At 37.1% G+C, this 26,292-nt stretch overlaps 1 protein-coding gene and 1 long non-coding RNA gene across 4 annotated transcripts in view; one reads left to right on the forward strand and one right to left on the reverse strand.

Annotated features, from left to right (window-relative positions):
- The window catches only part of ERICH3-AS1 (ERICH3 antisense RNA 1), a 48,669-nt gene extending 23,623 nt beyond the window's left edge, over positions 1-25,046 (forward strand). For both annotated transcript variants that reach the window (NR_121671.1, NR_121670.1), the window contains exons 2-3: positions 14,154-14,244; positions 20,344-25,046. This is a non-coding gene — a long non-coding RNA (ERICH3 antisense RNA 1). The remainder of the gene's footprint in view (positions 1-14,153; positions 14,245-20,343) is intronic.
- The window catches only part of ERICH3 (glutamate rich 3), a 106,221-nt gene that overhangs the window by 32,930 nt on the left and 46,999 nt on the right, over positions 1-26,292 (reverse strand). For both annotated transcript variants that reach the window (NM_001002912.5, XM_017000275.2), the window contains exons 8-10: positions 19,682-19,862; positions 11,571-11,757; positions 5,549-5,850 (exon numbers count right to left, since the gene is read on the reverse strand). In NM_001002912.5, the coding sequence (NP_001002912.4) occupies positions 5,549-5,850; positions 11,571-11,757; positions 19,682-19,862 (670 nt within the window). The remainder of the gene's footprint in view (positions 1-5,548; positions 5,851-11,570; positions 11,758-19,681; positions 19,863-26,292) is intronic.

Genomic DNA, 26,292 nt, shown 5'->3' on the forward strand with positions numbered 1-26,292 from the left:
CCTATAACAAAGAAAATTAGATAATCACAAAAATGTTTCCACAAAAGAAATTTAATACATTTAAATATAAAATATGAATATCAGTAAACCAAAATTGTAAAATAAGCAAGAAGATGAAGAATTTGCTTTATGTTGCTAGACACAAACAGAAACTACTAATAAAAACGAGTAAATATTTTGATCCAAGTATTGCCGGCCAAGTTATAGGATAATTCCTCACCTGACCCTGTTAACTATCAATCAATAAGCCTATTTTTTGAGAATCTTCTATGATTAAGAGGATAAAATTGCAAGACAGAAGACATTACAATAAGACAATCCCGGCCATGAAAGACTCTCCAATTTTTATTGAGGAAAGAAGATGTAGGTACACAAGAAATACTGTACTCACTTTGTAGTAGTTTTTAATATGTGATCCTCAGTAATGTTTTTCAACACAATGGGGCTGGGTTGCTATAGATTTTTAGATAGGACATATAATTAATTATGTGAAGTAGTGTCAAGTAAGCAGAATGTAATGAAAGGAGGATGGAAAGTCATTTTAGGGACTCATGGAAGACTTCCCAAAAGAGGAAGGTAAGGTTAGCTACAGAATACACATACATATATCACACTACAGGAGTTTGCTACTGACCATAAGATAAGCAGAGGGCCAGAGAGAATATGAGTGGATTGCTGCAATTCCATCCATAGTGTTACATAGTAGTGAAATGTCAAGGTTTGGGAATCAGGCATTCATGTGCCCAAGACCCAGTTAAAACACTTACTGACTATGTGACCGTGGGCAATTTGTCTTTAAGCTTCAGTTTCTCCATCTGTAACATGGGTAATACAACGCTATGGTGAGTATTGAGAACAATAATCCCTGGAACATGCTTAGCACAGTGCCATGAATATCAGGGGCATAATAAATATTATGGATTAGTAGTAATCGTCCTTGTGATTGGGTAGTGAAGGGAGTAGATTATAGAACAGGAGAAATCACACACGATATGTACTCCTTTGACAGCAACACACTTTAGTGGAGGCACCTGATTAAAATCAGAGCAGTACAAGTGTCCACAATTAGGACACAATTACAGTTATATAATTGAGGCACAGCACAAAAGTGAAGGAACACGAAGTGAACCACAAGAACAGTCCCAGCATCGTATTTTGTGTTTTCTCTCAAATATGAAAGTCAAGGCTGCCCTGGCTTTATTCTATCCCTGCTATCATCACATTTAAGTATTAGCTTTCTGTTAACCACAAACCTTCCAAACTGTCATTATAGCTCAAAGCACACCACCTTTGTGTCATCTACTCATGTTTTTGATACGAATAAGCCAGCGACATGCTTTCTAAAATCTTTTACATAATTTCTTCTGTTCTCCCATCCCATTTGCCTTCTTCTAGAGAATTTAATTAGCTTGTTGTTTACCATCCCCACTAATGAGGACGTGAGTCAACACGGGGTCAACATCAATCTAGCCACAACCTTCTCTTGCTGACCTTGATTCAAACTTCTTGCTGTCCTTACATCAGCGACTATTATGCAGAGAGCTAAACCCTTGCGGCTGTGGCTGCATTTTTAAAAAAGGAAATGGACATTTAAAGTCCATTAACTAGCCAACACAGAAGAAAGAATTCAGGAAAAGCTTTATCATAGGTATCATGAGTATAAAGTACATCACTCATAGCACTAGTTATGTTGGTTTAAGAAAAAAAAAGAAAATGAAAAGCTTTCATTGAACATGACTTTCATAAACCACCATGCTTCAAAGTTAAAACACATGAAAACACATCCTATTTGTTCATACCTCTGTGATTACTATTGCTGCAGATATATTAAAATTCTCATCCCAAGATAAGACAAAGACTAGAAGAGATTGTGAAGAATGGTGAGCTGGTAAAAGTGCTCTAAGTGAAATCTTTTGTAAAAGATTCACTTTAGTCAGTAATAATCAAACATGAAGTCTAGTGCTATAACAGCCCTGTAATTATTCTCTTGGATTTCTGAAACACTTGGGCAGCAAAAATATGAGGTGGGGAAGAAGATACCTAGAAGTTGTCCCTTTCCCGAAGCCAGCCCTTCCACAGGTACCCCAACCCATGGTTATTGTGCCCCCTATCCAAGCTTTGTCTCTTGAGTATGAGGGACACAAAGCAGCTCTCCCTTTCTGATACTTTGGACACACTATCCACAACCATTTAGTGGGTAGGCTAACTTGTACAGAATAGAAGGTTGTATAGTGTTTGAAAGATTGAGCTTTGGAATTAGACAAACCTGGGTGCAAATTCTTATTCTGCTACTTTCTTTTTGTGTATCTAAGCCTCAATTTCCCAGCCTGTAAAATTGAAGTAGTAATAATACCTATCATGTTGAATGGTGAGGATAAAATGAGACAGTGTGTGCACAGTGCCTAGTTTGGTGCTCAGTGCTTGGCACTTTCATTATTGTTGTTATTGCTGCTTTAGGTATAAGCATATACAGGCATACCTATATACACATGTAAGTATATACAAGCATACCTAGATCTGTGAATGTATACCTATATATATATTCGATATACAGGTATACCTCAGGGATATTGCAGGTTCAGTTCCAGGCCATTGCAATAAAGATAGTGATATAAATTTTTTGGTTTCCCAGTGCATCCAAAATTATGTTTCTACTATGCTGCTGTCTGTTGAATATACAATAGCATTATATCTAAAAACCCAATGTATACACCTTAACTAAAATCACTTTATTGATAAAAGATGCTAACAATCATCTGAGCCTTAACTGGTCATCGTCTTTTTGCTGGTGGAGGATATTCCCTTGATGTTAGTGGCTCCTGACTGATCGGGGTGGTGGTTGCTGATGGCTGGGGTGGCTATGGAAATTTCTTAAAATAAGACAACAATAAAGTTTGCCACATCTATTGACTCTTCCTTTCACGAAGATTTATCTGTAGCATGCAATGCTGTTTAACAGCATTTACACACAGTAAAACCTCTTTTAAAATTGGGCTCAATCCTCTCAAATCCTGCCACTCCTTTATCAACTAATACATTTTATACATATTCTAAATTCTTTGTTGTCATTTCAACAATGTTCATGGCATCTTCAGCAAGAGTAGATTTCATCTCAGGAAACTTCTTTCTCTGTTCATCCCTAAGAAGCAACTCCTTATCTATTCAAGTTTTATAATGAGATTGCAAAAATTCAATCTCATCTTAGGCCCCACTTCTAATTCTCTTGCTATTTCTACCACATCTGCAATTACTTCCTCCACCAAAGGCTTGAACTCCTCAAAGCCACCTGTGAGGAATAAAATCACCTTCTTTCAAACTCCTGTTCATGTTGATATTTTTACCTCCTTCCATGAATCATGAATGTTCTTAATGGCATCTAGAATTGTGAATCCTTTCCAGAAAGTTCCCAATTGAATTTGCCCTGATCCATCAGAGGAATCACTATATATGGCAGCTATAGCCTTACAAAATATATTCCTTAAAGAATAAGATCTAAAATTACTCCTTGATCCATAAGGATAACAACAGAATGGATGTTGTGTTAGCAGGCGTGAAAACAACATTATCGCACTGCACATCTTCATCAAAGTTCTTGAGTGACCAGGTACATTGTCAATGAGTGGTAAGATGTTGAAAGAAATCTTTTTCCCTGAGCAGTAGGTCTCAACAGTGGGCTGAAAATACTCTGCAAACCATGCTGTAAATAGATGTGCTGTCATCCAGGCTTTGTTTGTTTCATTTATAGAGCAGAAGCAGATAAAATTTAGCATAAGGCTTAAGGGCCCTAGGATTTTTTGAATGCTAAATGAGCATTGGCTTCATCATGAACTCACCAGCTGCATTAACCCATAAAAGAAGAGTCAGCCTATCCTTTGAAGCTTTGAAGTCAGGTGTTGACTTCTCCTTTCTAGCTATGAATGTCCTAGATGGCATCTTTTTCCAATGTAAGGCTTTTTCATCTACACTGAAGACCTGCTGTTTAATGTAGCTACATTTATAAATGATCTTCGCTAGGTCTTCTGGATAAAATTGCAGCAGCTCCTACATAAGCACTTGCTACTTCACCTTGCAATTTCATGCTATGGAAATGACTTCTTTCTTTAACCCTCACGAACCAACCTCTGCTAGCTTCATACTTTTCTCCTGCACCTTCTTCACCTCTCTCAGCCTTCATAGAATTGAAGAGAATTAGGGCCTTGCTCTGACTTAAGCTTTGGCTTATGAGAATGTTGTGGCTAGTTAGATCTTCTATTGAGACCGCTAAAATACTCTATATATCAGCAATAACGATTTCTTTTTTATCATGCACATGTTCACTTGAAGTAGCACTCTTAACTTCCTTCAGGAACTTTTCTTTTGCATTCACAACTTGGCTAACTGCTTGGCACAAGTGGCCTAGCTTTTAGCCTGTCTTGGCTTTTGATATGCCTTCCTCACTAAGCCTAATCGTTTTTTTTTTATTTAAAGTGAAAAACATGAGACTCTTCCTTTCACTTGAACATTTAGAGTGTATTATGTAGGGTTATTAATTAACCTAATTTCAATACTGTTGTGGGTTAGGGAACAGAGAAGACCAAGCAGAGGGAGAGAGACTGGAGAACAGCTGGTCAGTGGAGCAGTCAGAAAATTGATTAACTTCACTTTCTTACATGGTACAGCTCATGGCACCCCAAAACAATTGCAATAGTAACAACACAGATCACTGATCACAGATCACCATGACAGATATCATAATAATGAAAAAGTTAGAAATATTGAGAAAATTTGAAACAGAGATGAAGTGAGCACATGCTGTTGGAAAAATGATGCTGATAGACTTTGGTGCAGGGTTGCCACAAACTTTTAATTTATAAAAAGTGCTATATTTGCAAAGCTTGCACAATAAAGTGAGCACAATAAAATGAGATGTGCCTGCATATATATGTGTGTATGTATATATATGAATGCGCGTGTGTCTGTGTGTGTGTGTGGGTGGGTGGGTGGGTGTATGTGTATGGAGAGAGGGAGACAGAGAAGCAGTGGAAGGCAGGAGAGAGGAAGGAGAGAACAGAGAAAAAAGAAGAAAGCAAAAGAAAAAAAGCAGACAGATAGGTTCCACAACCCTAAGCCTATAGTCAACTGCCTTTAGTTATGGCATACTCTATCACCATATAATCATATAGGTTGTACCTACCTGATGTCAAAGCAATTCATCAATTTCATGAAAAACAGTACATTCAAAAACTTTTAAAATAGGTAAAATTCTATTTGGTGAAAATGGTCTCTGCAGAAGTCAATAGAGTCTCTAACTCACATTGACATGTACTCATTCTCTCTCCTCATCTCTGCAGCCAGAACCTTTAACCTTTCTGGGGCTAGGTCTGCCTTCCTCTAAGGTAGGTGACACAGGACTCCATACAAAACAGCAAAGGAAGGAGGTCAGGGGCACCCCACATGTAACACAGCTGGGTAACATTTAATGGGTATTTTTGAAAATTTTGATCATCACATTTCAAAGACAAACGAAACAGCCACAGCTACAACAAAAGAAACTTGTGTTGTTGATTACCATATTTTAAAGTATTTTCCTGGTCGTCTTCCAAGACTTCTTGTCCTGGTTTTCCTTTACTTGTCATTTCCTCCACAGCAGTTACCACTTCTTTGAGCCCTGTTTTTATTTCTTGAGCTGAAAATTTGGCTGAAACAGAGGTTTTGTTCTCCTTGATCTCATTTCTTTTTGGTATCACATACTCTCTCTCTTTCCTCACTTTCCCCTCAGCCTTCTTCAGTTCCTCTCCTTTCTCAGTGCTCTTTTCTTTCCTAGATTTCGGCAAAGACGGTTTTTTGTCAAGGCCCATTGCAATAATGCACCTATGAAAAATATTAGCAGGAAGTGTTTGTTAACCCTTGTAGACAGCACAATGGAACCTCAAAGCTTTTGAAAGCACTTATCTCTTATTCCAGTAAAAAAAGACACAAAAATGTTTTGATTACAGTACACACTAATAAAAATAAACAATTAAAAAAGCTAATTAAAAATAAACTATTCTTTTTTGATACTAAAATCTTGTAAACAAACAACAAATTCTTAATAACGTTATCCACAATAATAAACAAAATAAAATAACTCGTCAACCAAGAACTATAGTTTCAAACTAAAATCTGTGTCTTCAAGTATATTTTTGGTCCTGAACAGTAACACATATCATAGATACAGAAATATAGGTGGGTATATAATTTTTCATACATAAAGACATATCTCAAGTCCTTAAATGAGAATTTTGTGATAATAGAACATGCAGATTTACAAACATAGAGAAGCTGATATAAAAATGGTCAGAAGAAGCAAGATGCCATTCAGTCTGATAAGTTATATTTTAACAACACAACAACAGTAACAAAAGACTTACAAGATTGGCTCTAAATAAATATGATTGATTTTTTAAAGAAATATATACAGTCAAATGTTGCTGCATCTTTTAAGTGAATAACTCAGGAGTTTGTTCACTTATTTTCATAGAACTGTCATTATTGCTTTTAGAATGGCCTTTTGAAGTCTGCACTACAGTCTTCTGGTGATTTTTGCTGGTAATAAGTTCTTATTCCTCAAAAATGGCAGTAATTTATAGAGGTTATGAAGTCATTCCAAGTCAAATCTGGTGAACCATGCAGATAATCTGAATGCATTATGACATTAAAACTTTTTAAATCAATTATAACAAAAGTAATATGAATAAATTGTCTTCTATAGCTTTCTATTTCTTAAGTTGATATTAAAATAAGAATTCCAATGATAATAATATATACATTAATAAAAATGATGATTATGATAATGATAAGATTATTGAGCACTCTCTCTGTGCCAAGCTCTTTTCTGGGTACTCTGTATCCATTATCTTAAGGAATTCATTACCTCATAGACCAATAAATTAAGAACTATCATCACCACTTTACAAATGAGAAAATCGAGGCTTAAAAGGTTCTAGCAGCTCAAAGTCACCCAGTACGTGGGTGATGGAGCTGGATTCTAGCTCAAGACTGCTAGGCTCCATCACATCATACTGAAGCACAACCATATTAGTCTATTACAGGTGTAGGCCTCCAGTTCCTAGTTATGATTTAACTAGTAGAGATGACTAGTTACATAAATGTTACACTTTGAGCTTATCACCAAAGAAAGGACTCACACTCTCTCAGCAGACACTAATACAATCTGGAGAAGTTTCTGGCAAGACCTGGATAAAATCCATGATCTGAAAAATGTTTCTGGTAGTTATCAGTCTCTTCAGTCTTCTTTCTCTAGAACTACTCACGTTCCCCTCTCTGCATGTGATACAACTACCAGAGAACTGAATTTATAGTGGGCAGGTGAAAGGGATCAGAAAGCAGTCAAGACTTGCTAGTCCCAGAAGAATAGAAATAATATGTAAAATCTCAAAAATGCCTCAACCTGAACAAATCCAATGGCAATTACTTAAACTGAAGATTTCACTAAATTTCAGCCATCTGCAGCGTAGAAATAGCAAAGGAATTGATCTTAATAAATTTTCCCAACAAGCAAATATGAGAACTGAGTTATATCACTTAACTTTTCAATATCTCCCCACAAAATAAAGCTAGAAGGATTTGCACTCAAAGTAACTATCAGGCTGTAAAAAATGAGATAATGAGATTATACTTATCTCACCCATATTAAGCATGATAAATATTTCTTGACTATAATGATGATGTGCTTAGCACATTGCTTTCCTTGGAGTAAAGGTGTCATGAATCTTCACAAAATGTGATTACTAGCATTGCCTTCTGTTCAAGCTGTTCTTCCCTTATCAATTGCAACACCAAATCCATTGATTTGGAGCCTCTGATATGTTGTTACTTTTAGTTTATGTTGTGGCTGCGTAAAGGCTTTGATGCCTCCCTACTGCATGCACAGACTTTTTATTGCCCATCTGCTGAAGGGAATTGGACAAACAAAGTGAGTAACATCTGTGCTCTCCTCGTCACTGACTACCTATTTGACTTCTGAATATAATTTGAGGTGTTGATTATGATTACTAAAGCTCAAAGCAGTCTGCATTCTACATGGTTAGGCAATTCTTCCCAAGTTTCATGCTAGCAATTGAAAATTACTACGCCTCTTCAAACAGTTCCTATAATTGAGAGATGAGTACAGTTGTGGAACCTTACACTTTGGAAGTGACCACTGCTCAGCTTTTCTTGTTTTCTGAGGACCTTAAACAGGTAATTCCTAATCATTTAGAAATATAATTCTCTGTTGTTTTATTGTACCATGCCCTCCTTTTTCTCATCACAAATGTTTCTGGGACTGGTATTTTTTAAATAAATTAAAATTAATTTCATTTTGAATGTATTGGAGGAATTAGTGTACATTGTTTAACATAACTAAAAGTATCATTATGGGAGTGACAACAAAGCCAAGGTTACAGAAGGTAATAACCTTTGGGGTAGTTCTCAACTCTCCATGGAGTTCTGCAGTGTTATGGTCTCTAGAATAACCAGAAAAGTCTCAAGTGAGGAAGAGGACAAACAAACAAGGCTCTAGCACTTACTCACCTAACCCTGTACCATTTAAACCAGTCTGACTCAACTTTTACCTGACCTGCAACAGGGAGACATCCAATGACAATGCACTGTTCTATTCTGGGCATTCACAGATTTCATTGGAAAAATGGTTATGAAGTTAACAAAAAAAAATTGAAAACCATTCTTCTATAAGAACTGTGCATTTTAGTTGAGAGTCATAGGCCTTATTCTTTAATATTGTAACCATTTTGATATTATTATTTGAAAAGGTTGAAGAAAGAATCTAGAGGGTACCAAGTGTTGAAATCATAGAAATAATTGTACAGAGGCTAGTGGGTGTTGAATAGGAGAGTAAATGCCATCAGTCAGATTTTGGTACTGATTATTAAACTTCCACAGAAAGTGCTCAGGGCTAATAATTTACAGCTTGGATTTATACCACAACTCCCAAAGAATGCAATATATTTGCACATGGCTGATTGTAGATGTTTATTAGCTTTTCTGGGAATTAAATAGAATTGTGTTAAATGACCTGCTCTCAAATCAGGAGACAGCATATTTGAGTTGGAATAGGAAGGCAGTTCAGGTGGCCCCTAAGTACAGCTGGGCATTGATACTATCTTGCCCTAGGCCATTCAGTCTTCCATTCTCTGGATGATTCTTTTACACTCTTATCTCTCTGAAAACACCCAATGCCTCTTCTCTCAGCCTTATCCTCAGTTGATAAATTTATGTATTGTTTAAGAAAATAGAAACAATCAGCAGAGAGCTTCCAGTTGTTCCCAGCACATCTATTAATAGCAACTCACATCTCTATCTTGTATGCCTTCTTTCTTTCCTCCCGTTACCATACAAGAATGTTCCTCCTCTTCTTAAGGCTTATACCCCCAATTGAGTCCTACATCTCATCTTCTCCAGTCTACCCAATCATTTAGCTCCAGAAATTTCCACCCTTTATGTCATACTTCATGTTTCTTATTCTCTAAAGTATTCAATCGTTTGTATTAGCATATAAACATATTATAGTATCTCCCATCTTAAAAAATAAAGAGGCTTCCTTGAACCACTACATTCTTCCTCCTGGCTACCACCTAATTACCATTCTTTATAGCAAAACTCTTTTAAAAACTTCTCTATAGTCTCCAGCCTTTGTTTTTCTCCAACTATTTTTTAAACCCACTCCAAGAAAGCTTACACCCCAACTGCTGCACTATAACTCGTGCCATGATCACCAGTAACCAACACAGTACCAAATCAATGTCCAATCCTCAGTCTTCATTTTACTTCACATATCCACACATTCAACTCCCTTAATCATGCCCTTATTCCTTAACCATTTTCTTTATTTCCAAGATACTACTCTCTCTAGGTTCTCTTTCTATTCACTGCCTTTCCTTCTTAGGCTAGTTCCTGTTTACCTCCCTCACCTTTTAAATGGAGTGACACTCATCACTCAGACATCTTCTCTATGTTCAATTCTTAAGCAAACTTATACATGTCATCTATATGCAAACCATTCTCAGATTTGCATCTCCAGCCTGGACCTCTCACCTCACCCCAGATTCATATATCCAACTGCCTACTCAGCATTTCTACTTGCTTATCTCATACATGTCTCAGACTCAATGTGTCCTCGACCAAAACCACTTCATTCCACCCCAAAAACCTGCTTCTTCCACAGTCTCAATAAGTTAACTGGACATCTTTCCAGTTATTCAAGACAAAAATTTTGAATCGTCTTTGGCTCTGCTCTTTATCTCATTCCCTGCATCCAATTCATCAGTAAATTCTGTAAGCTCTACCTTTAAAATTACTTCTAACTCATTCCACCATTATCTCTTCTCTGGATTAAAGCAGTTTCTGATATTTTCCCCACACACCCTTGTTTATTTTTCCCATAAGAGTTACTATTAAATCATGACAAGTCATTGCTCAAAACCCGCTTTAGAAGCTTCCCATCCTTCTCAGATAAAAGTTAAAGTCCTTGCAATGACCATAGGACTCTACATGGCTTAGCCTCATGGTCTCTGCGACCCCATCTCCAATTTCATGGTTCTATTCCTTTTGTGCTGGCCAAGCTACCTTAGACACAACAAACACGTGCCTGCTTCATGCCTTCTGTATATGCTTTTCCTCTATCTCAAAAGCTATTTCAAGAAAGAAATTTTTTTTCTGGTTTCTGTTCAAAAGACATCTTATCAGAGAGGCCCTTCCTAACTATCCTGCATAAAATAACACACTCCCCATGACTCTTGTCTCCCTTCACTCCATGTATCTCCCTTACCCTGTTTTGTGTTCATCATACTGACCATCTCACATATATTAATTGCTTTGTAGGTACGTTATTAGCTTTTCCTCCATTAGAATAAGTTCCACAGAGACAAATACTTTAGTTGATTCACTCTTGTGTTCTAGCTTGGCATCTAGCCAATACTTTTAGAAAATATGAAAGCCCACAAGCAAGACTCCTGATTTCAAACAGAATGTTCAGTATGAAAGCTGATAACAGTCAAAACTGACCTTTTATCATGCATTTTGTTATGCCCAAGATTGAAACTAAGGGAGATAATGAAAATTGGGTCAGACAGTAATGCAGGCAAACCTAACCTCTAAAAGGCATAACCGAAAATGTCCAGTCATGTAAATCAGATGCTTGGCACACACTTTAAGGCTCAGTCTAAAACCAGTTACTAAGATGAATGAGGAAAAACAGACACACAAACAAAAACAACAAGCAAACAAAAATATCTCTCTCCTTCCCTTCAGAAACAGTTCTTAAAGTGAGAAGACAGGAGAGATAGAAAGTGAAATAATTTAAAATGCACTAGCTTTTATCTTCGTTATATAACACCTCTGTAAGTCTGATTTATATCTTATAATTTCAAATTCAGCACGCCATGTTACAATAAACAACCCTGAACCTAGATATTGTAGGCCCATCTATACTGAATTTCCTTAATAATTGTGAAGAGAAATGCATTAGTAAAGGCATTCAAAGAAAAATGTAGCAAAACTTGCCCTCTACCAAAGGACATTTGTTTCCATACTTGTAGCAAGGAGATGATCTCTCAACACACACAAACCCAAAGTAGCCTCGTTTGCCTCCAAGCCTGGAACCTTTCCGATGCTTGTATTCACAACAGGAGCTTAACCTGTTCACCTGCATCCCATTCAGGAAAAAGGTGAGACTGAAGGGGAAACCATGATGCCTTTTGGAAATAAACTGAAAGGTCTCTGGAATTAAAATAGAAATACATTAGTGAAAGCAACTGACTTCGGACTAACATCTGTTAAATCATGTTTTTCTATTAGATAAACACAATATTATGATCTAGATCAGGGGTGTCCAATCTTTTGGCTTCCCTGGTCCACACTGGAAGAAGAAGAATTGTCTTGGGTCACATATAAAATACACTAACACAAACAATAACTGATGAGCTAAAAACAAAAAAAAAAGTTCTTGTATAAATCTCATAATGTTTGAAGAAAGTTTTCAAATTTGTGTAGGGCCACATTCAAAGTTGCATGCAGCCTGTGGCTCACAGATTGGACAAGCTAGATCTAGATCATCTTTTAATTTGAGGACAATTTTTAGTGATAAAATTGCATTTGATTACTTTTATTTGTAATAAATACTCCAAGTTTTTATAAAAATTCTTTGATTTGTAATAAAATAATAATACCTAAGGTTACATGAGCACTTACTGTGGCAGGCATTATGCCTTATTATCTTGTTATTTTTCAATCATGTGAAGTGGGAATTTTTCTATTACTAGATTCTAGGTCAAGAAATTAAGACTTAGAAGAGTTCAGTAATTTACTCAAGATCATACAGTGAGTTGGGGAGTTAGAGTTTGAATCCAAACATCTCTGTAGATTCCATGCCTCTATCTTGCTATGCTATCTATTGATAAAGCAGTTAATAATAAAAGGCTACTGTGAGCTCATTAATACATTTTAAAATGCTTTTATTTTTAGTTGTGACTTTAAATATTCTAAAACATACATGAATGAAGCAGTTATTTCATCTCCAAGCTATACTCAATTCTGTTTGGATTTGAGAACACTTTGTTTTCCCCATCCACCCAAAAGTCCCACCAATAAATTTAGAACCACTGCTTACAATTAATAGTTTTTAATCATTCCAAGTCTTTATAATGTTATTTGCAAAGCCTGCCACCCTATCCCCACAGACGTCCTAAACCCTAAGTCTGGGAAACCTTATTCTCTGCAGAGTGACTCAAAATCCTGTGTCTCATGAATATTTCTTACGTCACTTCCTAAAAAGAAAAAAGAAAAGAAAAGAAATAGAGCCTCTCTGGACCCTTCCACATCTGCCAATAATAAAGTTAACAATTTTCACCTCTCTACTATGTACGCATTTCCTATTGTTGCATTTACTACAATAGACTAAGATGTAGCTATACCAGTGGTTTTCAAATTTTAATGGTGTATCAGCATCACCTAGAGGGCTTGTTAAAATACAGATTGCTGGGTTTTACCTCTGTTTCTGATTCAGTACGTCTGTGGTAAGAACCAAGAATTTGCATTTCTAACAAGTTTCAGGTGATGCTGATGCTATTGGTCTAGGGACTGCCTTCTAAGAACTCTAATCTAGACATTAGCTGCTTTACATGTTTGTGAAATCCATAAGAGCTGAAGTTGATGCATCTTTTTTCTCCAAATCCCTGGACAATGGCATAGAAGGCTCCCCCAAAATAATGAGTGAATTATTATTTTAATCTATTTTTTCAGTTATTTAGAAACACTGTGTGTACCACATTTTTTCCCTAAAAAAAAAAAAAAAAAAAAAACTCGGCCGGGCACGGTGGCTCACGCCTGTAATTCCAGAGCACTTTGGGAGGCCGAGGCGGGTGGATCACGGGGTCAGGAGATAGAGACCATCCTGGCTAACACGGTGAAACCCCGTCTCTACTAAAAATACAAAAAAATTAGCCGGGCGTGGTAGCGGGCACCTGTATTCCCAGCTACTCGGGAGGCTGAGGCAGGAGAATGGCGTGAACCCGGGAGGCGGAGCTTGCAGCGAGCCGAGATCACGCCACTGAACTCCAGCCTGGGAGTGAGAGTGAGACTCCGTCTAAAAAAAAAAAAAAAAACTCTACACTAGATGCAACTCATTCTAAAGAACAGACTTATTAAAAAGGTAATTCAGTCATTTATACCTTAGTATTTCTGATGTAAAATTAAACTAGGAAAGAGAGAGCTGAAAAAGGTTAGAGTCTGGGAAAACTAGGATACAATATTTTTAAAAATCCTTTTGTCTTAATGATAAATGGACTCCTCAGGTGGTGAAAGCAAGTTTGATTGTTTTTGTTATAGAAGCTTGAGTCTACATTCCTGTAATATAAACCATTCTGCTGCAGTATCATGCTCCATAACTTCCTAAGTTCCCAGTTCAGGAAGAGAGTGCACTTAAGGAAATGTTGAGAAAGGGCTCAGGAAATCAACCCCTAGAAGTGACTGCCCTTCCATCGGATGCTCATGTAGCTGGAGAGTATGCCCAGATATTACTCCATTTTGTTTTTTCATTGTTTTTCAGAGTTCTAGAACAAGAACTGCCACCCTTTGCCTTTACTCCTTTGTTACTTATTTTTGTATTTTAAATACAGTGACACCTCCCCATCCTGACTTGATGATTTCTTCATGGAGCAGTGGAAAGAACGTAGTCCAGAAATTAGAAGGTTTTGGTCCATGGCACAGGTGAGTGTATCTTGGTGAGTCATTTAACTTTGTTGCCTTTCAGAATTTTCACCCATAAAACAGAGATGGGGGTGTGTAGAATGTGCTAGTCTATCCACAACACAGTCTTAAATATTTTAGAATGTAAAATATTAGAAAGCATTATATATGATTATAATTATAGTATTTGTACAGTTAATTATTTATTGTTCACTGACAGTTGGTAGCACTGTTTTAGGCACTAAAGATAAACAAAAATACTGAAAAATATCAAATGTGTTCTCCTGACTCAAAAAGATATCATTAAACAGGAGGGGCAAAATTAATATATCAGTCTTCTGGATTGCGGTCACCAAATCCTCTCTTTCTTAAAATTTTATCTCTGGAGAAGAATTAAAGGCTTAAAACAAACTGAGAAGCATATATTCATGAAAAATTACTGAACTTTAGGTAATGGGAATCCATGCATTTTTTCCGGGGCTACTCTTATCCCCAACATCTGCTACCGCCTTATCACAGCAGTTCTAATAGGGTAGGCCAGGCCACAAATAACCAGCCGCTTTGCTGTCTGTGGGGGTTGACTTGATTTAGAGTGCAAGGAGAAAAACCTTTCGCCTGTGGTATGACCAGTAATAAGTAGGAATCTCAAAGGCAAGCTAACAGGGAAGGTCAGAGGTTCTATGGGCCTGTGACTGTAGTTTGGGTTTTTTTATTTGTTTGTTTTGGTTTTGGTTTTGTTTTTTTGAGAAGGATTCTTGTTCTGTCGCCCAGGCTGGAGTACAGTGATGCAATCTCGGCTCACTGCAACCTCTGCCTCCTGGGTTCAAGCTATTCTCGTGCCTCAGCCTCCCGAGTAGCTGGGATTACAGGCACACACCACCATGGCCAGCTATATATATATACACATATATATATTGTATTTTTAGTAGAGACGGGGTTTCGCCTTGCTGGCCAGGCTGGTCTTGAACTCCTGACCTTAGGCAGTCTGCCCGTCTTGGCCTCCCAAAGTGCTGGGGTTACAGGCATGAGCCACCACAACCAGCCATGACTGTAGTTCTAATAAGGGCAAGCAACAGGCCAGCGGACAACTAAAAATTTAAAAGGAACATAGAAGCAATAAACCAGTCATAGAAGCATTTGATAAGCTCCCTATATATCCCTGGCTAACTGGAAGTGGCATGGATCAGAGAGGGCTCAACCTTTTCATACATCTCCAGCCTACCAGTAGCTTTCCCTTAGGCACAGAAGAAACACAAGAGAACCTGGTGGAAAATAAAAGTTGGAGCATACTTGAAAATTGCCCACAGTTTGAATGTACCCCTGAACCCACTGTAGTCGGCTGAATTGTGTCCTCCAATAATTCATGACCACCCAGAACCTCAGAATGTGACCTTGTTTGGACATAGGGTCTTCAAAGATATAATTAGTGAAGGATCAAGATGAGATCATCCTGGATTTAAGTTTGGCCCTCAATCCAATGGCTGATGTCCTTATAAAAAGAGGTGAGGACACACACAGACACACAAGAATAGCATGTGAACACAGAGGCAGATATTGAAGTGACGGAACCACAGGCCAAGGAAGGCCAGTTGACAGAGTTAAGAAGAATGCTTCTTGGGGCTTTTCAGGGAGTGTGTCCCTGCCAATACCTTCATTTTTGACTTTTGGCCTGGAAACCCACAAGAGAATAAATTCTTGATGTTTTCAGATATACTTTTGGGGACGTTAGCAATGAGCTATAAAAACACAGAGACTACCCCAAGAGTCCAGACTAAAAAATAGCAATATAATATTTTTTAATCTGAGCAAAACATGGCTGGCTCTGCACCAGGATGATGAAGGCTAAATTTCACAGATTTAATTTTGGTAAGTTACTAAAAAAAACAACAAAAAACAAACAAAAAAAAAAAAAGGAAGGAAAAACCAGAAACAACAATAACCTTTGATAGGGAAAAGTCAGAATCCAGAATTCACAGGAACTTTAAAATAGCACCTAAATATGTAGTTTTCAACAAACAATCAAAAGACATGTTAGAAAAAGGGAAAATATGACATATACCTAGAAATAAAAGCAATTAAAACCACACCTAGGAATCTAATCAAGAGCAACATGTATCTACCCAAAAACGTGTTTTTATGTTCATAGTCCCAAACTAGTATCAATACAAATGTCCTCTAACTGGGGAATAAATTTTTAAAAATATGGTATATCCATGTAATGGAATATACTCAGCAATATAAAGAGAGAGCCACTACTAATACTACAAATATGCATGACTCTCAAAAACATTACGCTAAGTGAGTGTAAAAAGACAAAAGACTACCCATGGTATGATTGTGTTTATAGGAAATGTCCAGAAAAGAAAATCTGTACAGTCAGAAAGCAGATCAGTGTCTTCCTGGGGCTGTCTATGAGACAAGGACCAACTGTCAAAGAGAACAAGGGAACTTCCTGAAGTGCTGGAGATGTCCTACACCTAGTCTGTGATAATGACTGCACAACTCTGTACAATTCTAAAAAGAAATTGAATTATATGCTTACAATGAATAAATTTTATGGCATTTAATTCACACCTCAATAAAGCTATTTTTTAAAACTGAAAAAAAAGTCAATGATAAAAGAAAAATAAGAAACAGGGCTGAGTGTGGTGGCTAAAGCCTGTAATCCCAATGCTTTGTGAGGCCAAGGCAGGGAGATTGCTGGAGTCCAGGAGTTTGAGACCAGACTGGGCAACATAGCAAGACCCTATCTCTATAAAAAATATTTAAAAATTAGCTGGGCATGGCTGAGATAGGAAGATCACTTTACCCTAGGAGTTCAAGGCTATAGTGACTATGATTGTGGCACTGCACTCTAGTCTGGGTGAGAGAGAGACTGTCTCTTAAAAAAGAAAAAAATTAAAAACCGTTAATATAAGTCAAAGCACAATGAACTGCTTCAGTTTTGAGTGCTGACTGAAAGCTATTGGGATAAAACAGAGTAGAAGTCAGTGAGAAAGCTGCACAGCCTTAATCTGAGTCCTAAAAGATGGGTAAGATTTGAATTTGAAAAGGAGAAAAGAGAAAGTATTATAGACAAAGGAAATAGCACAAGCAAAGGAAAAATAATAGTGCGTATGGGACAAGTGAAGCAGCTGTATTTGCCACAGCATAATGAGGAATGCACAGATAGATGCAACAGGATCCGGTTATGGAAATACAGGAAAATGGGGCAGAAAAGGAAGGGATTCTAAGAAAGCCAGAAAAAAATTGTTACTTTATTTTGCACTTAAAATGAACCCAGGAAGCCATGGTTTGTGTTGTCTGAAAAGATAAACATGGCAAATAAAAATGCCTGTGAAGAAATTGTACTCTACAAGTAGCAGGAAATACTCAGTAACTTCATAGGTGTATATAATAAACAATCAGCTTGTGGCTTGAAGTCTAAAATCAAATTGCAAGACATCATGAATTACCTGGGAATAAAGGATGCACTTGCCACCTTTCTAAATAATTAATTTTATTGTTACTTCTAATAAAAAGGCAAGACGAATTAACGAAAGCCAAATCTTAATGAGTTTACTGCTCCAAGCACAATGTTAAATGCTCCCCCTCCAACTTTTGTTAACAGAAATCTTTTAAAACCCTATTCACATTTTACTGAATCATGCACAGCTTTGATTTGTAGAAAGGGCAGATTCTTTTCAGTCCAGCTAAATTGCTAAGATTGCTGAACCACAAGTCAACTCTGAGCCACCCAACTTTTCAATTTTGAACAATTACTTTCCTGGCAATCAAGGGCAAGCTGAGACAAAATTATTGCATCGACAGGATTCAATTATTTAAGTCCCCATTCCATGCTATTATTCAAGACTGTCCAATGCCGTAACAAAACATCCCAGCATCAATATGTATGCAAAATAACACTGACTCAAGTGACACCCTTTTTCCCATAACCTTTGGTTTTTCACTCTCATCACAGAGTGTACATCATCTACCAGAGAATCATTTAGCTAAGCCTCATTCTTTTTTCATTTGTATCTATCACATTTTCCAGCAAATAGATGTTTTATATGCATTTTGTTGAATAAAGTGTGATCTAAAGTCCAGGACAGTTTTCATCACATTAATTCCGACTTTACAGCTAATTTCAGCATTCTCCTAAATCAATAGCTGAAAGTTATACTTTAAAAAAATAAGTGTATGTATCTATGCCACTATCATTAGGGGTTTCATCCCACTTATATCATGAAAATGTAGGAAACTCCATGCTACTCAGAATAGCTCACTGGGGCTGCCTGGAACTGATCAAGGGCCTTGCACCTAGCCAGGGGCTCGGGATTTGCTCTCGACTCTGGTCAGAGTGTTACCTTGGGGAGCCACTCCACCTCTGGAATCATCTCATTTTCCTCAACTACAAAACAAAAGGAATGAACTCTGGAATGCTACAGCAAAATAAACAAGGTAAATTGCATTCCTACCAAATACATAAAATGGAAATGGAAAAAAACAGTTTCTGACATCATTGAGCATCATATTGTGTTTCACTTTAAGTTGAAACTATCATTTAAGTGTTTACCATTTTTGTGATGGAAAGTTTTACATATGTAATTCCTCAATATGAATTTATAGTCTCTCTTTAAGGACATGAATTTTATTTTAAGTAATAGTCACTGTCTTCAATTAATGAGGGAAATCAGAAAGACTAAAAGTAAAAATTCCATGTTTGTCCCCAATTCTCCCCGTAACTCCTACCAAGATTATCCAAATACGTATATTTCTTTTAATTAGTAAAAATGCTATTACTTTTTGGACCCAGTTTCTTAAGCAAGGAAGTAACAATATAACCCTGTAAACACTATTTCTTTTCACTGCTGCTCCCTTGAACTAAATATTGAAGAAAAACATTACAGTATAATTTGCAAAAACCTACATTGCATATAAACATTATCCTATGCTGACAAACGTGGATTTATGATCAAATGAAAGCAAAAATGTACTAAAAAGCTATTTAGCCAAATTCTCCACCAAGTTATTTAGGTGTGATTCACCCTGCAGTTTATTGGATTTGTGATTTTATCTCAACATACCTCTAAAGAACAAATTTCCAATCTGGTATTTTTCTCTTAGAATAATGTATGGCATAATTCACTATGGCAAGCCAAATAGTTAACTTGGAATTTCGGGGACAGCTTATTCGTGCAACATTTTAATGATCATATATCTCCATCCCAAAATTAATCTGTTACCAGGTTAAATCACTCCAAATCCTTTCTTCCACAATCTGCGAGAGTAATTGCTGCTTCAGTTTCAATCATAGAGCAGTAAATCTAGATTTACTTTTAGGCAGCTGGTTTATAAGTCCCTGGATATGCATAATTTCATAAAGTGATTGAAGTCATTTTGATATTATATCAACAGCAGCTTATCTATAACATCAACTCCAAGCAATTAAAAAACATTCACATTTTATGTGTACCTTTTTCAAGTAGTTTGCCTTTGTAGACACAAAGGTTTTCCCCACCACAGTGCTGCTGATAAACTTTAATTTCATCCCGGAAGTCAGGATTATCAGAAGATAGGTGCACATTTTTCCCCAAATAGATCATTGTAATAGCTGCATTACTATGTAAGGATGTTTTATGAATCCTTCTTGAATCCTGAAATAAACAGAAAAATGAGGCTTATTAACGAATTACTTTCTAATGAGAGTTCTTACCTGACATTGTAATATGAAGAATAAAGAAGGTTATTTTTAAGTACCTACCAACAAAATCTAAATAAAGTGTCAATTTACAAATGCACAAAAAGTCAAACTCATTGCAAAATAAATCCTCCTAAATAACTATAACATATATGTTTTGGCTTTCTACTTTTAATGTAAATAATGGGGATTTGGATAGAGTTTGTCATTTTTTACTTTAAGTGCAAGTGTGTGGGGAGGTGTGTGGGAGTGTGTTTGTTATATATAGCAAAAATTTCAATGACACCAAGAAGAAACTTTTGCCTCTGTTAGCTGGTTCTCCAATAAAAATCCAAACAAATGAACTAAATAAATATTAGTAACATCATTTTGTTTCAGTTTGAACTGACTTAGAGATTTAGCAATAGTTTTTGTAATTGGCTGCTTTATCTTTACAGCTGAGCACTGACAACACATCCTTCCCTGGGCTTATTCCATCTGAGAGGGAGATGCACATGTATGATTTCTTCTACGGTCATTCTGAAGATCGGTGTCATCAATAATTTGGGCTTGGGACTATCCAGTTTCACAGGGGCATTCAGTTGATTGAAAATCCAATATCAATATTGTTTATAGTATCAAAACAATCTACCGATCAAAGTCTCTAAAATTACTACAAAAACCTATTTGATATCCTATGGCATTGCCCAATTTAAATTATTTATAAAATATGCAGTAAATGTGTATGCCAGAAAATCAATGTCCTAGGCATTGACTCCTAATTAATTGTTTGAAATATTTTCATAATAGTGAATGAGCACAGTGTTTGCCTGACCTCTACGAGGAAGAGGAGGAAGTAGAAGCAGAACAAAGGAAAGGAGGAAGAGGAAGAGAAATAAGAAAGGCTGAGAGGGTTGAAAGACTTTAAGGGGGGCTAGTAAGAAAATTGTAGGCCTCTAGAATTGTACACAGGCCAGCCTTTCCTTCTCATCTACTTCACTTTCCTAAAAATCAATTTTAAGCTAGACAAAAAATGTGCAGAGACCAACTTTAAGTGGATCCAAGGCAGTAATTTGAGCTGATTCCATCAAATTATAGATGCATGAGAAGCATGCATTTTCTAAAGAATAACAACGCTGCAACAAACATTTTTGAAGGAACTACTAAAATATTTCCATCTCTAAACTCATCCTCTTCCACTTCAGATGATTTCTTTTCCATTTCATTCTATTCTCTGAAGCAAAAACCAGAGGAAAGAAATCTGATGGAATGAAATTCTGCTAGCAACCATCTGAAAGTATAAATGAGGGAGAAAGTCCAAGATTTAAAAATTCAAGCAAATTTTCTTGCCTGTTGGAAGGAAGAGCTCTCAAATAAAGAGATAATCAAGAGACATATTACAGGGCATCAAGAGCCATGAAAGTAAATCAGCAAACTGGATAATTTCTTGCAGATTAGAAACATCTCCCTGAATCACAGTTGAAGCAAAGGGGATGATGCCAGGTCTGACTCCTACTTGGAAAATCATAATCCCATGTTTCCTCTTGCCTGGGCAACTGTGGAGCTGTGACATGCCTGTGTGCAGCCCACTGCACAATCAGCAGACCTCAGGCAAATCCAGCTCCAAGCTGCACCTAGCACCTTTAATGAAGTGACTGATTAAATAAAAGCATCCCCCTTTTGTTAAGCAATACTTTCTGAAGCAGCATGGATTTAGAGGCAGCCCTGTGAGTTTGTAGGCGATAAGCACTATATAAATACTAGGTAATAGTGGGATTAGAGTCAGGGAAAGACCTGTGTCCTGTGTATGAAATGAGAAACTGGAAGGAGAAACTTTTAAAGAGAAAAATACAGGAAAAGGCAGCCCTTTATCCTTTTCATTTCCTCTTATTCATATTTCTTTCTGCTAAAGCTTATTTCTGATGGTAAAATCTCTTTTCTCTTGGGTCTCATTATTTCATTCTCTTTTTAAAAAATATTCCCTAATTATTGCAACCAAGTAAATTTTTTCTAACAAACAGAAGGCCCAAGTGACAGCTCGTGATTAAATATACACACTAGGAAACAAACAGTAGTTTCTTTCAATTGACTGAACTGCCTCTATACTTACCATCTTGCAAAGATATAATGACCAGAGACAAATGAAACTTTAATAAGGTTTCTCGGCCCTTTCTGCTATCCTCAAGTAAGTATCAAAACCTTCCATGAAAATTCAGTTCCATTTGAAGAACAGGAACAAGGCCTCATGCCCCTGCATAACTAAAGCTCTTCTTTCTGATTTCCTTCACCAGTTGCTTATGACTTTCCTTCTCATTTCTTTTCAGATTTCTCAGGCAAGTACAACTGAGCTGATAAAGAAACAGCAAGCCCATTGAGTGGTTAACCCATCAGTCATTATATATTTGCAACATTTAGCATTGAATTGATATACTAAGTTTTCACTGAAATCTCTTTTATCCATGCCCACACAAACAGTATAGTGTCAAAGGGCCTGTTCTTGTTGATAGTGTTGGGTAATAACTCCTCTCCATCTTCTTCACGAAGCCCTGGTGAATTCTGGACATCAAGTAGGGTGACCATGAAATTTATCATCCAAACTTGGACACATAGTGAAAGAAGTGTTACTAAAAATTAGGAAATGGGGGGGAAAGGGGCAGAATTTTGAACTATTCCAGGAAAACTGAGAAGTATGGTCGCCCTACGAATTAGTCTCCCCACTTCTAGTCTGATATCCCTCAAAATCTCCCTCCTGTTGGAAATCAGAGTGATCTATTGTTATTAAACAGATCATGTGACTCTCCTGCTTAAAGCCCTCCAGTGATTCCCATTATCCATGGGATAAGTTCCAACATTCCCCAGGCAACATAAAATGTGTTATATTTTCTAATACCTACTATCTCCCAGTGATTGCAATTTCTCATGCTACATTTAAATGTCTGGCAACGGAACTGATTGTAGTGGCCCAAACACTATCAACTACTTTTAATCTCCAGGCCTCTACAACTGTATGAGTCACATGATATTGGAACTATTCCCTTGTATTATCTCTCTCTCAGTAGATAAGGATGACGTCCTAGTGATCTTCATGCCCCCAGTAACTTGCCAGTGCTGATGCTTAGTAAGGACCTAATTAACATTGATCCAACTGGACACAGACATGGAACAATTAGGCATTCCATATTCTGTCCTTTCCATATTCTGATAAAGCTACAGTAGGTTGGTTCTACCCTATATAGGAAGCTTGCTACATTTATAGAAACTCAATAGTTACCAGAACAGGAAAACTGATTCACAGTGTCTTGTTAAACCAAACACCAATTTTGGTTACTATTCCTTGATAAAGATTGATACAAAACCAGCCTGACCATAAAAAGTGGCAATCCCCATGTTGATGCTGGTGGCCCTAGAGAGAGAAAGTCTGACACAAGCCAGAGGAAGAGTGTTCATATCCCAAAGACTTAGGAAGCAGCTGGTTGTATGAAAACCTCACAGCACTACATTACACATGTTCTTCCCTTTCTCTTCTCTTTCTCTCTGGTTTTGCCTCCCAGTTTGCTTTTAGTATAGTTACTCTTTTCATTTTCTTTTGGGCCATTTTTCTTACTACTGTGTAAACTTTACCTCATGCTTATTCCTAATGTGCCCAGAAACACCTCAATCCTTACAGAGGCATCAGAGCTCTAGATTTTCAGGATCTCTCTCACCTGTTCCTTCCCACAGAAATGATAATAAGGGTTCCTGCTCACATTTCCTCCCCCACTCCCTCTGCTTCCTAACCTACTCTGGTGCTTCCTTGTGTAGCTCTGCATGGTGTGGTGTAAGAGTTATTAACATTATTGAAGATGGGGTCTTGCTGTGTTGCCTAGGCTGGAGTGCAGTGGTGCAATCATAGTGGTGCAATCACTACAGCCTTAAACTCCTGGGCCCAAGCCAACCTCCTGCCTCAGCCTCCTTGATAGCTGGGATTACAGGTGTTAGAGATTGGGTCTTGTATGTTGGCCAGTCTGGTATCAAACTCCTGACCTCAAGTGATCCTCTTGCCTCAGCCTTTCAAGTCACTAGGATTACAGATGTGAGCCACTGCACCTGATCTTGTGATGGTTAATTTTACCTATTAATTTAGCCGGACTCCAATGCCCAGATTGGTAAACATTATTCTGGATGGATCCCTGACCAATGCATGTGGTGTGTCCCCTCCTCTTGGGAACTGTGAGTAACAATCTATCTTTTTGATGGCAATTGTCTCTTAATCTGTAAGTTTCACCATACCTGAATAATTTTTAAAAACCCACATTTTAAAATAGCCATGCAGAACAATATACCTACTTTCATTAAGAAAGGGCCAACTAGTGAAGGTTTCAAGCAGTAGAGGAGCATGTTGAGAGTTTTTCCATAAAGTTTAATTTAGCACCATTATGTAGAATCTAATAAAACCGAGATGAATTTTGCTTATTCCTTTTTCCCCTTTCTGCTTTTCAATCTCAGTTCCCTGGTTCTATCTGCTAACTTCCTACTGATCATTCAAAGCCCATTTCAAATGCCACCTTCTCTAGGAGGCATTCTCTAATCTCCTCGGTCAAAACTAATATTTCTTTCCTCTATGTTTCTATTGTGCTTTATTTATATCACAATTATAGTACTCATCACAATATATCATGGTTAATTGTATATATATATATCTGTCTCTCTTGCTAGACTGCAGTCTTTCTGAGAGAAACAGTTTAGTCTTACCCATCTTGGTAACCTCAGGACCTAGCATATCATTTGCCATTATCAACAAAAACTGGACTGAGCTATATTCTCATTTAGAGGCAGGACAAGTATATAGATGATTGCAATAGTTCCATTAAAAGATTAGTTATCAAGCCCCTGAACTAGAGATGTAGCAGTAAGGATGAAAAAGGATTATCAGGTACATGAGCCACTGTTCAGGTGGCATCTAGAGCTGTGCCATCCAGGACAGCAGCCACTTCTCCCATTTGGATGCTGGGCATTTGAAAGGTAGCTCATTTGCTGTAAGTATAAAATATTCATTGAATATCAAAGACATAGTATAAGAAAATACATCATACTTAATTAAAATTTTTCATATTGATTACAGGTGGAAATGATATTTTAGATATACTTGATTAAATAAAATATATTAAAGTCTTAAAATTTATTTCATGTTTCTCTTTATCTTTTTAAATTGACTATTAGAAAATTTTAGAATTGCATATGTGGCTTGCCTTCTATTTCTATTGGACATCTCTGATCTAGAGAACTTAGCAACTAGCTGGATGTGCAATGCACAAGGAAGAAGAAATTATAGATTTTGAGGCCAAATTACAGGACAAAAGTTTGTGCTTTAAAATAAATAAGGCAACTGAATGGAGAAACTGGCTTAAGTTGTAACCATGTTGAATTTGAGGAGCAGTAGGACCTATCAATTGGGCATCTGTAATTGCACAGGGCTTATTTGGTACCTAGGAGGTAGATAGGGGGCTTTCATGGAAAAGTCTCAAACTAGTGTCATAAACTTTTTGCCCTCTCTTTCAAAAAATGTATAAAAAATAAAAGCAAACTTTGTTATTGGTTTCTAAAATAGATAAACATAACCATTAAGTAGGTTCTTATTTGGAAGCCTGTACTTTCCCTTTTATAAAAGCTATATATGAAACTTTCCACATTTTCAGCAGGCTGCTGTATAGAGTAGGTGACTGGTAAGGTTAGACTACCTCGATCCTGAGTGGGAACACAAAAGTCTGGAGGTGAGTGAGTTAAACCTTAGTGCAAAATGTAACTAGCCTCATGGATTCTGTAAATGCAGTATAAAGCTCTGAAGGTGCTAGAACAAAACAGGACAAAGCAACAGAGTCCAGAGACAACTTGCTGGACTGTGAGTCGTACCACACCTTGCCATTTGGCTCTACTGATCATCCCCAGAGACATGAATCACAGAAGCCAGAGACCATGTTGTTCTACACATTCATAGAGGAGCAGGTGGTGGATACCAGCAAGCCACATTTCATTGCTTTTTACTCTTTCTTTCCTTTTTTTTAAGAGCCTTTAAAAGATGCTTTGCTGGATGGTAGTCATAAAATGAAAGATGAATTTATGTGTAAATTAGTCACAAGAGCCATCTCCCCTTAAATGAATCTTTTCTATATCTAAATAAACGAAACTCAAGTATTAATGTAAAATGTGTGACTCTCCCCACTGAGACAATTTTACTCGATGCCTAAGGATCAGGGCTAGAGTCAACTCCAACAGACATCTAGCATGAAATCATGTGTGAAGATGACTACATCTTGAATAGAAAAACAAGTGTAAAGGCTGAAGCCTATAGGGATGGGTAGATTTATGGGTGAAGATGAAAAAGAATCACAAAGGAGTAGGACAAGAGGTGAAAGGAGACCCCGAGGAAG

The sequence above is a fragment of the Homo sapiens genome, chromosome 1 (genome assembly GCF_000001405.40).
Source record: "Homo sapiens chromosome 1, GRCh38.p14 Primary Assembly".
Lineage (NCBI taxonomy): Eukaryota > Metazoa > Chordata > Mammalia > Primates > Hominidae > Homo > Homo sapiens.